The following is a 13,435-nucleotide window of genomic DNA, read 5'->3' on the forward strand; positions in this document are numbered from 1 at the left end:
ACTTGAGCACATATTCACTAAAATAAGGGATTTCTTCTCTATAACATCTCCTGGCTTTTGATGACACAGGCTACATTAACAAAGCCCCAACTCATAAATCATAGAACAATGGCCTAGTGGAACATATCTACTGATCACAGAGGATCTTTATTCCTATAGTGCATAATAGTTCGTTTTTGGCCCATCTACTTTGATACCATAGAATTTGAATATACCTCCTTACATTCCACTACCTATGATATTCTTTCCCATAGAAATAATGAGCTTCATTTTCACTGCTTTCCTTCAACCCTAGTGCTACATATATACTCTACATCTATTAATAACTTCCAGGTAGTTTCTTTAACAAGTGACCTGGAAGGACCTCAAATATACTTTCAAGTGCACAGGAATGGTATTAAGCAGCACCAAGCCTTGGCTGTTAAGTGTTCTTTGGGCCTTCTTGTGTGATATCCACACTTACCTTCATGCTAAAAGCAGAAGAAACTGAGCATAATGGCAGCTATAAACCTTTTTCTTTCTAATTCTACTTTTCTCCCTTCAAGCATCTCCATGTCATCATTCATAAATGTACTGTAATTCAGACTCCAGAGGCCCTCTTGAGTAATGCAAGATGGGAAAACACCATATGTTGCACAGAAAATGGTGCTTTATCCCAACTTGTTTTTTCTAGAGGGACCAGTAGAAAACATCCTTCTTTTTCTGAAATTTGGAACATCTCTTAGAAGACTAGTTTAGTCGTCATTCCATGAAGACTAAAGCATTTCTCCATATCTGGGAAATGATGTGGGGAAGTAGTACATGAGTCAACCTAGAAACCCCGAGTTTCCTAGGGCAGGCAATCCAGGTGTCTCCTCTATCCTCCTTCCCCCGTCTACTCAGGACTTGAGGCAGGGGAGGAGACTTACAGACTCATGCTCCTGAGACCCTCAAGTTTATCCTCAATTGAAGGCATGAAACAATGACTTACCAGGATCTGATCAGAGGCCAGACAAGAGATCAAGTGAAGAACAAGAGATGGAATGTGCATTGCTGGAATATTTAGTAAAGTAAGTCTGAAAAATTAGGTATCTGGTCAGACGGCCCTTTCATTTGGAGTCCAGCATGGGCAGCCAGTACGAGGGCAAAATCTTGAGTATTTTATGGGCAAGAAGGTTGATCTTTGATTTTTGTTTTTCTTTTGGATGTTTGTTAACCATATATCTTTTCCTTTGGCCAATAAAAATTCAAATCATTTATAACAATGCATGCTTAGGGTGTTTTCAATGTCTATTTAACCTTCCTTGAACAGAGAAAGCTTTTGATTGTATCTCAAGTGAGAATCCGTAAGAGCTCACTGACAACTTATAAAAGGAGAAGTCATTAGCTCTCCTTCACAATGATCCTTCTACTCCAAGAATTTTGACCAAAGGTTAGCTTGGCATTTCAGTTTTCCCAGTCATCTTTTATTTTCCTACCTCTCTCTCCATAAGCTGAGTCAGAAAGAGTAACTAGAGCATCCCAAGCATTTCTCCACCAGAAGAATGATTTTTCTACCTGTTTTTTATCAGTAAGAGAAATTACTTTCTATATTTAGCTCCTGCTTATTTTTTCCCAAGAGAAACCCAAATTTATTCTTTCCAAAGAGCACATTAGCTGTGCATTTTACAAACTTCATGTACATGTAATACTTCCTATAGCAACTATTATACACAAGATCCAAAACAACTGCTTTCTAAAACCGTCACCTCCTTAAAGAGATGGTAAAACCTCAATTTATATAAAACATTCTAGATTTCATATAAATCAAACTTAAAAATGATTAAACGGAGAAGAAATGTGGAATCAGAATAAGGGAAAATGATAAATTAAGTCATATTGCTGAGTTCAAAATATATATTGTGGACATGGAAAAAAAAGCTTTAAAATTGGACTTCACATGAAACACATTTCCTTAACTTTACTGAGTTACTTTGAAACTCTGGTATGAATTTCTACAGTCCTATTTCTCAAAGTGTGCTCCACAGATCAACAATATCAATATTTCCATTATGCGTATGTATAACATCTGATTCCTACTCCAGATGGATGCCTGGTGATTCTCACCCAAACTAATGTTTGAGAACCATTATGAGGGAGAAAAAAAGTGGAATAATTATTTGAAAGAAATAATTTTATAAATATAAAATATCAAAGATGAGTAAAAAAATAACCATAAACATTTCTGTATTTGGAGATATATACTAAAACTTCATTTGCTGATGAAATGGCATAGCATCTACACAGGGCATCATTGGTCCTGAGTTCATTAATGTTGAAGTTGAATGATATAAACATGGGATCATTATATTATTCTATTTTTATTTACACTTAAATTTCCCATACTAAGAAGTCTTTCAACATGTTGTTACATAACATTCCCCAAATCAGGAAGAGACATCGGTCATAGAGTGGCTTATCTTTTTCCACATGATGAACTTAGAAAGCTAATCCAACATGCCCTGAAATCATTCGGTATGTGTCTGATATTTAATCTAATTGTGTCTGAGCTATACCTGATAATATAAATCTACAAGTTTATATTTGAAAGTATTTTTTCTTTTGAAATCAACATTCTACTTATAATAGTCGTTTAAAATTATGTTTTTTACCTTCGTGACATTTCTCAATGTTTCCAATAGCATTATTAATAATAACTACTCTGATGTAACATCACCTTTCATTTTCTGATCTTTGTCTTTTCTACATGACCCTGTCTCCCTTGAAAAATAAAACTCTTATTTTAGAAAAGCAACTTTAATATCTGGGATCAGTGGAAAGGGTCATGTCTCATTTATTAATATGTTTCAGTCTTTGTCCCTTTAGTCTTTTTTGATCTGAAGAAAAATAACTTCACTTTTTCTACCAGCCCCAAATACTCTGAGGCATTGAACTCTTAGCCTCTCTATGCCTGGCAGCTCCTTTTTAAAGGGCTAGACTCTTCTTAGATTGGTTCATACAAGTAAAACAACTTGAAGTACATCCATAAGATTTATGAAATCAATAGACTGGTCTACACAGGAGATGGCAGAATGGTTCTAAGAACTGTCCAAGCCACAACTTTCTTTTGAACAGCTCAACAGTCTTTATAGATATCAGTAAAACTGAACTAATCAATACCTCCTAGCTTCTGATAATCACACTGTTGTATAGACAAATGGCAGCTGGTTAGTTTAATCAAAATCATAGTTGGAAGAGTCTATAGTTATAAATATGGAAATAGTCCAAGACTTTAAAAAGGAAAGGCATTATTATGATTAATCTGTTTTAACACTTATTTCCAGTGACATTTTTAAAAAGGCAGGGAGAGAAAAAGGAAGAACCAAGAGGATAATAACTTAAGAAGGGAGGAAAAATATTATTTTAAAATCAGTTAGCTTCTTGTTAATAAAAATAGCTAGGCTGTTTGAGGGAACACATTTTGTCTCTCAGGGTATCTTTGGATCATAGTGACTGTGCTTGATCAATCCCAGTGGCGATGGCTTTGGCTTCGACATATGCTACATATTTTCTAGCCAAAAAAATATTGTCTTCATAAACAGGCATGACTAAATTCTATTCTTTAGGAGTGCATGCTTTGGCGTTAAAATTATAAAGCTAAACAAAGATGTAATCAACCTAGAGGCTGGGTTCACAGTCACTTGTAAGAGAGAGGCAGAATTGTAACTAGGAAGGTCCACAGAGGGTTTCCAGGATACTGACCACATTCTCTTTCTTAAACTGAGAAGTGGCTACACGGGTGTTATATTCATAGTGGTTCATTGAGCTATACATTTACGTTTTATGTGTTTTTGAATGTATCTTTTATAATATTAAAAAACATATAATATCTGTACTTGCAATTTTGCTATACACCTAAACCTGGTGTAAAAATAAAGTTTAAAAAAATAATTAAAATTTTAAATTAAAAGTTTTAAAAAATTTAATAAAAGAACTGCTCAAGAGACTATGATTAACATCTGGTTTGCTAACCATGGCTCTGACCAATAGGAAACAGGAGCCAAAGCCAAACAAGCATTTTCAAGAGAAGTTTTTCCACTGTTAAAAAATACCGTACATACAGAAACACTATGCACAGACACATTTTTCCACATTATGTTGCTGCTTCAGTAAAGATGTTGTACTTGAAGCAACATTTCCAGCACCTGGATAAATGTAAAGGAGCCCAATTTCAACTAGTATTTCCACCTGAACTCTTCGGTGCAATTACAATTATACTGTATATATTTTCCTCCGTTTTATTTTTTTGTTCACAATATGATTTTACATTTCCTAGTCCGCTCCTCTAATCTGTCTTCTGTAAGGTATCCCAATCAAATTACCAATGAAACTTGGTACTCTCTCACCAAATATGAGATAATACCACGTCCGATAGCTTCCTCAGGCATGCCCTGGTTCAGGCCATACTAGAGCCCTAACTAAAGTGCAGATGGTATTATTGATGTACACATAACTACAAAGCTAGAAGATACTTTTTCTTAAACCAAGAGTGGTGCTTGTACCATAATGCAACCTAAAATAAATCTTATTTGAATATCTAGCTAATTCATTTAATTCAAGGCTTTAGCTGTTGCTAATAATCTGTACCCATAAACTAAGTTCAATAGAATTATGAGAACTCTTAACAGTCTTAACTTTAGCCTAGATATTACAGGTAAGTCTTTATCCCATCAACATTGCACGAAATAAGGAATAAAGATGAAAACAGGAGTGAAAAAACTTTTGTATTTTGTGAAGAATACTACATTTGGAGTTGTGGTTGAAAGTAAAATGAAATTAAAGAAGATTTGTTTTGTTTTAGCATAGGACTGAACTAAACTCAGAGACACAAGTTACAACTTACTTACTACTAAATGTCTTAACATCATCTCCCAAACATCTAACGTAGACACTGTTTATATCATCTTCAAGCTTCTTACTGCCTCCTCAGGCTAAGTATCCCTACATCCCACCCCTTCTCATCTAGTCAACTTCCCTTTACTTTTTCCAATTTCATGCCCAGGACAATTTTATTCTAACTCCTAACATTGTTCAGTGTTATTTCATGCAAAGCTACCTCTGGACTAAAAGAATAAGATCCTTCTACAGGTTATACTCAATTCACCCAAGGAAATAGTGAAAATGTGGGCATTTTAGGGTAGAGAGTGTGTGTGAGCAGAGCAATAGATACCATTACTGCCCCAGTCCCATCAAGGAGGTGCTGCCTGATCTGTGGGTGTGGATGTGTGAGCTGGCCCTGAAGACAAACCTTGGCATGACACAACCTAGAATTCTTGCAAGCTAGACACTCAAGAAGTAGCCACAGTAGTACCCAAACTAATTTACATGTGCAAAAGTCCTTAGAGAAAAATCCTATTTCTCCAAAATAAGGTCACAGTGAACTGTTGTAAATAGTTTATTTGGAAAACAAAATATTTGTCTGAACCATCAGCAGAGGGATAAATTATAAAAAGTGTCCTTGGTGATAGAAGGTTGGAAACCACTGCTCAGGCAATAGGAATTTAGGCTATTTATATTCTACGCAATCTAACATGTGTAGAACTGATACATTAAAAGTGATTAACTAGCAGTCCTAAAAGAAATCATCGACACTATGCCATTACATGATGCTGCTACAAGTAGATTCTATATAATATCACTGAAACACTATAATACTACTCTGGTTTAAGCCTTATTAAATTTGGAGAAACTGAAGTACAAATTACCTTAGTGCTGGCAATAAAGTGTGTTTACGCAAGATATATTTGTTTGTTCTTGTTTGGAATTGGTTGATTTGTTCCAGGAAGTTGGGTACTTTTCCTTTTCTTCTCAAGGCTGAATGAGAGGTTTCATTAAATATACATTGAACAGACACTTTCCTAAGAAGTTGTCTGTAAAATATGCCCTTGGATGAACAGAGTTCAACTGGCAACTGGGTCACACTCTTAAGCTGAGGAATGGGGAAGTTCTCTAACTTTTCTGAACCTCTGATTCCTGATAATAATAATATAAAGTTAAAGATCAAACAAGCAAAAAATACACTGAAAGCAATTTTCCAACAAGGGCAAAGTTTTAACATATATAAATATGTATATATATAAACATAAATATAATATATTAAACCTAAATATAAATATGTATCTATTTTATTGGCTCTCTCTCACTGGAGAACCCTGACTAATACATATATAGGCACCTCCATATTAATAAGTTTACTATGGCTTAGCATATAAATATTAAATAAACGAAATATGCAAAAACTTTAAAATTACCATTAAAGCAAGTTATCTTTAAAATCTATTTGAATCAAATTAAAAAACAATATTACATATTGATTTTATTTTTTTTATTTTTTTGTTTTTATTTATTTGTTTATTTTTTTTTGAGACAGAGTCTCGCTCTGTCACCCAGGCTGGAGTGCAATAGCATGATCTTGGCTCACTGCAACCTCCGTCTCCCAGACTCAAGCAATTCTCTACCTCAGCCTCCTGAGTAGCTGGGATTACAGGCGTGTGCCACGATGCCTGGCTAATTTTTGTATTTTTAGTAGAGATAGGGTTTCACCATGTTGGCCAGGCTGGTTTCGAACTCCTGACCTCAGGTAATCCATCTGCCTCAGCCTCCCAAAGTGCTGGGATTACAGGCATGAGCCACTGCACCTGGCCTACATATTGATTTTATTACTTCAGACTTCCTTTAATTGCTGGAAGATGAGTGGTGTACAGTGAGCAATTAATATATATAATTTTTTTAGACTTCTCCTTTTTTGAATTAAAGATGCCCATAGGCTGAAAATGAAGGGATGGAAAAAAATATTTCTTATACATAGCAGCCAAAAGAAAGCAGAATTAAGAGAGAGAATTCTGGGAAGACGGTGGAGTAAGAAGCACCAGGAGTCATTCTCCCACCTAGACAATTTCACAGGCAGAATATGTCTGATGTAACCAATTTGGAATGCTGGGATTTATTCAAGGTTTGAAAATTCCAGAGAAAGGGTTGGACAATAAATTATAGTTAATTTTAGCCAATTTCAGCTCTTTAGACAATAGCAGTAACCTATTCTTCATCCCCAATCCTGTGGCAGGCAGATGTGCGTGTGTTCCTGACGTGACTTGCACACATCTTGCAGGAGCCAGGATAGGCAAATAGGACCTTGTACTCCAAATGTCAGTAATCTGCGGACAAATCCCTGAATACTGCTTCTGATTACAGGCATACAGACAAAGAGTCAGGTGGCTAATATTGTTGCATCTCCCCTCATTGTTGCAAACCCCTCCCTCTCTGACTGAAGTGACTTTCAAGGAATTTACAGGGCTAAAGTTCCTTCGTTCTCCTTCATTTTGCTATTTTTCCCCTTTTGGGAAATAGACATTAAACACTTGAACATTTCAAAACAACTGTATATGCAGAGAAATGAGAAGACAATTGTGCAGACTCAAAAAAGATCTAAACTGACCGTAAATTTATACCACTGGCTGATTGTTGGCACAGAGACAGCCTACAGCAATCAAAAAACAAAAGTAAAAAAATAAAAGTAATAACAAAAAACAGCAAAACCTGGGAAATTCGATGAATTTGAGTTACAGAGTTACCACATTGTTAGATGCAAATGCCCAGTTTAAAAAAAAAAATCATAAGGTATACAAAGAAAGAGGAAAATCTGGCCCATTCAAAGGAAAAAAAGTAAATCAACAGAAACTATTCCTGAAAAAGATCTGATGGCAGATCTACTTGACAAAGACTTCAAAATAACTGTCTTAAAGATGATCAAAGCACTCAAAGATGTGAAAAAAATCAGGATAACAGCACATGAACAAAATGGCAATATCAGTAAAAATATAAAAAACCTGGAAAGAAACCAAAAAGAAAACATGGAGCTCAAAAGTACAATAGCTGAAATAAACATTTTACTGAAGAGATTAAAGGCAGGCTTGAACAGACAGAAGAAAGAATCAGCAAGCTTGTAGACAGGACAATGAAAATGAAGTAGTCTAAGGAAAAAAAAGAAAAAAAGATGAAAAGAGTGAACAGTTTTATTTTGTTTTGTTTTGTTTCCCCACAGTAGCGGATTAGAGGTAGTGTTGGCCTGCCTCTCCCACTCAGAAAGACAGAATAATGTGTGGAGATTCACAGTGAGAACTATTTTTCAAGAAGCAGTACAGGAACTCAACGGGAAAACTGCAAGACTCCACAGACCCTTTGAAAGAAAGGAGAGGCCTGGTCCGTGAGACAGGTGAAAAACTGTAAATTCTCAGTGTAAGATGGGGAGAGATTACCTTCAGAATACATATCCCCACTGGGGAATCTGAAAATCCAGGCCACGGGAGAAGGCCTTAACCCTACCCAGAGGTGGAACTGATTTAGGGAGTGATGAGAAACATAAAAGTAAAAGCAGCCGTGGGAAGTCCCTTGCAGGCATTCCCAGAATACACATTCTTCTGAAGTGCAAATGAAACATTTTCCAGGATAGACCATATGGTAGGCCACAAATTAAATATCAATAGATTTTTCAATAGATATCATATAAAGTATTCTTCTACAACCACAATGGGATGAAGTTGGAAGGCAATAACAAAACTAATACTGGAAAGTTTATAAATTTGTGGAAATTAAGTTACCCTCTCTTTGCCAACTCTTCTGAGACTCTTTCAAAATATAGAAGAAGAAGGATCACTTCCAAACTCATTTTATGAGACCAGCACCACCCAGATACAGAAACCTGACAAAGATAACACAAGAAAACTGCAAGCCAATATCCCTAATGAACACAGATACAAAAGTACCAAATAAAATACGAGCTTATCAAACTTAACAATACATTAAAAGAATCATACACCATGACTAACAGGGATTTATCTCAGGGATGCAAGGGTGGCTCAATATATGCAAGTCAATCAACATTATACAACAAGTTAACAATACGAAGGAGAAAAAAGCACATAATCATCTCAATTAACACAGAAAGCATTTGACAAAGTTCAAACTCCATTGATGATTAAAACTCCCAACAAAATAATTATAGCAGGATCTTACTTCAATCCAAAAAGGGCTATATATGAAAAGCCCACAGCTCACATCATAATCAACAGGGGAAAACTGAAGGCATTCTCTCCAAGATCTGGTACAAGACAATAACGCCTAGTCTCATGACCTCTTTTCAATATAGTACTGGAAGTCCAAGCCGGGGCCATTAGGCAAAAGAAGAAAATGAAAGGTATTCAAACCACAAAGAAAGAGTAAAATTTTCTCTGTCTGCAAATGTCATGCTCATATACACAGAAAAACCTTAAAGATTCAATGACAACAAAACTGTTAGAACCAATATAAAAATTCAGTAAAGTGCAAGATACAAAATCAATATGCAAAAATCCAGCATGTTTCTATACACAAACCATGAGCTATTCAAAAAGAAAATTAGAAAAACGATCTCATTCACAATCAAGACAAAGATAATAAAATACTTAGGAATAAACTTAACAAAAGAAGTGAAAGGCTTGTACACTAAAAATTATAAAACATTGACAGAAGAAATCTAAGAAGACACAGATAAATGGAAAGACATCCTATGTTCTTAGACCGAAAAAATTAACGTCATGAAAATATCCATACTAACAAAAGTGATCGACAGATTTTCAATGAAATCTCTATAAAAATCTAATGTCATTCTTTACAGAAATAGAAAAAAATCTAAAATTTATCTAGAACTACAAAAGATTCCAAATAGCCAAATAAATCTTGAGTAAGAAGAGCAAAGCTAGAAGAATCACACTGCCTGATTGTAAAATATATTACAAATCTACAGTAATCAAAACAGTACGGCACTGGCACAAAGGCAAACACATAGACCAATGAAACAGAACAGAGAGAGAGAAGAAATAAATCCATGCAGCTATAGTCAACTGAGCTTAAACAAGGGGGCTATGAACACAAAATGGGGAAAGAATAGTCTCTTTGATAAATGCTGCTAAGAAAACTAGATGTCCACAACCAGAAGTGGACCTTACCTAACAACATATATAAAAATTTACTCAAAATAGGTCAAAGACCTAAATATAAGGCCTAAAACTAGAAAAATCCTAGAAGATAACATAGACAGAAATTTCATGACATCAGATTTGGCAATTTCTTGGTTATGACAGCAAAGACATAGACAATGAAAGCAAAAATCATCAAATGTGATTATATCAAACTAAAAATCTTCTGTAAAACCAGGGAAACAATCATCAAAGTGAAGAGACAACGTTTAAAATGGGAGAAATTATTTGCAAACCATATATGTGATAAGGGATTTTTAGCTAAAGTGCATCAGGAAATCAACTTGATAGCAAAAAAATAAATAATGTGATTTTAAAATGGGTAAAGGAGCTGAATAGGCATTTTTCAAAAGAAGACATATAAATTACCAACAGATACATGAAAAGGGGCTCAATATTACTAATCAGTGAAATACAAATCAAAGCCAAAATGAGATATAATTTCACATCTGGTACAATAGCTATTGTCAAAAAGATGAATGATAACAAGTGTTGGTGAGAATGTAGAGAAAAGGGAGCACTGCTACACTATTAATGGGAATGTTAATTGCTACAGCCATTGTGGAAAATGGTATAAAAATTCCTCATACAATTAAAGTTAAAAGATATACCAGAATTACTATAAAGTTAAAAGATATACCAGAATTACTAGAAGGATGATACAGCAAACTAGAAGCTGTGATATTTGATGTAGCATGGCCACACATGTAGGTAATAAAGTACTTGCAGTGATGGAATAATTTGAAGTGAAAGAAAAAATGTGTTTCATGTATCCAAAGCTTAATTAAATGTTGGGAATAGCCAAGAGTTGATCAATGATAGCCATGAGGCAGGATAAAGAGTGGCATGTGCCTCAAATAAGTGAGAATTTCCATACCAAGACAAGGGAATAGTGGTTTCTAAGTGGCAGTGATGTGCAGGATGGGCTAGAGAAATGACTGAATGTAGGGAGTCCAGGGTGGGGGGAGGGGGGAGGGATAGCATTAGGAGATATACCTAATGCTAAATGACGAGTTAATGGGTGCAGCACACCAGCATGGCACATGTATACATACGTAACTAACCTGCACATTGTGCACATGTACCCTAAAACTTAAAGTATAATAATAATAAAATAAAATAAAAAAGTCTATTGCAATAGTCCATGCAAAAATCAATAAACCTTTTATTCAATTCAATTCAACAAATATTTATTGAGCACTGACTATATGTCAAGTACTATGCTCAGGCTAAAATAGTGAACAATACAATCTAACATTCCTGCCTTCTTATATTCTAGTAATTGAGGGCAAAAACAATAAGAGAGAAGACTATTGCAGCATGAGAGATTACAGAGATTGAATTGTCAGGTTCTATCCTCACATGGTTGGTTAAAAGAGGAAGCATTTCTAAAAAATTCTATGGGCTTAAATTTAAGTAACAGGTAAAAGAGAAAGGTCATTGATAGAGAGCAGGCAAGTTATTCATTCAACATATGTTGAATGTTTCCCAATGCCAAGACCTAGAAACATAAAGATGAATAATACAGGAAGAAGCACCAGATTGGAAAAGTGACTGGTTGACGTGATAATGATGGCAATTACAGACAAGCTGAAATTTTGATTGAGGCAGGACATTCTTGTGAAATGTTCAACACAGTTGAAAGGGTAGTTTTGAAATTCAGGAGAGAAGTTAGGCTAAGAGAAGTCTAATCTGCCTTTCAATTCATTTAGGAATGATTTTGGAGGATATAAATTTTTTGAAAAAAATGAAAGTTATTTCCCGGAAAAAAAATTCATATGAAAAAGTTGTGTTAAAAAAAACCCCACAAATACAATATATGCCAAATTTTTAACTATATTAACCACATTACTATTCTAGAAATCACTTGCTTTAGTAGCAATCATATATTATCATTACATATATTTGTATTAATCTTGGTAACAACAATATTAAATTTTTTAATATCAAAGAAATTCTGCTTTCAGAAAACCAAGATTTTTATCTAACAGGAGAATTAGTAGGTATGGAAATGTGACAAATTTGTATTATACTTGTTTATGTGAATGGGTAAGTAGAAGTGAAGCTGGATATTTAGATGTACTTATTACGGTGATCACCGTTACTGATGGCAATGGAAAATCAGATTTCTTTGCATTTCCCCAGGTAAGACAAGGTAAGCAGTTTATATGTATTATAATTTTTAAAGACAGTACCTGAATTTGTATCTACTATGTTGTTTTTCAGAGTGTCATGATCACGAGGGAAATTCACTACATGCCTGCTTGCAAATGATTTAGTTGAAATGTACAATTTCTTCTTTAAAGTATTTAATACTTCCCAGAGACAAATCAATTTTAATTTAGTGATGAGCTGAAAGGGCTGGAAAATAAACTACAAATAAGCTGAAATCATCAGAATTAAGAAAAAATGAAACAACCTTGTGCTCAGAGTAACTCAAAAAAGTTGTTGTCTAAAAAAAGCATTTTTGTTTTAGTGTGCCCCTTATTATTGTGGTATTCTTCATCTTTTATTCATCATTTCTGTTCATAAATCAAGCCGCCTTTGGTTCTATGTTTAAACTGCATCTAAAATATATACAACAATTTGTATGTATTCCATCATGATTGCAGAATCTACAGCACATTTTTCATGTTTTGTTCCGCGATCATCATTACATGTGAATAAAAGACAAATGTAGCCAAATATTTTTGATATTTCTCTCAATGAAGAATGCCTAATGTAAATCTAACAAAATACAGCCCATTTTTTAAATGACATTTTTTTAATGATGACACTCAAAGAAGCGCATTCAAACTCTGAGAAAAGTGATTATTTTGTAATGTGCACCTTTTTTTTTCTGCTTTATGTTTCACATCCAAAGTTGCCTTACATTAGAATAGTTTGGCATTTTCAAGAAGTAAATAAAGTAGATCTCAAGTTTAGTTCTCGAATATTTTCAGAAATCCTACAATTTTCATTTGAACAATAATGCTATGAATACCAGGCTATGAGAAGTTTATGTGGCCACACTAGACTGCCAGATCAATACACAGATTTGGAAGTAGTGGTGTTTCTTGAACTGTGTTCTGCTGATTGCATATGTCAGAATCACTGTTACAATGCATATTCCTCGGTTTTCTCTGAGACTTTTTGAGCTAAATTTTTTTTAGGTATGGTACCCAGAAATCTACAAACAACATTTTCCCCAGGATACTTGTGCAAAAACCACTGCTTAATACTGGGTTGGCTTAATATTGTGTTTGGCAATTTTCATGGTTATGGAGGGAGCAGGCAATGATGGATAACTGAAAACAGGTTGAAAACTGTTGAAAAATGACGTCTTCTTTTGAAACCTAGACCACCGTATATTTGGCCACCTACATTTAGGTCGAAGAAATATAGTGTCCTGCTCTACAGTAAGC

Source organism: Homo sapiens, chromosome 3, assembly GCF_000001405.40.
Source record: "Homo sapiens chromosome 3, GRCh38.p14 Primary Assembly".
Lineage (NCBI taxonomy): Eukaryota > Metazoa > Chordata > Mammalia > Primates > Hominidae > Homo > Homo sapiens.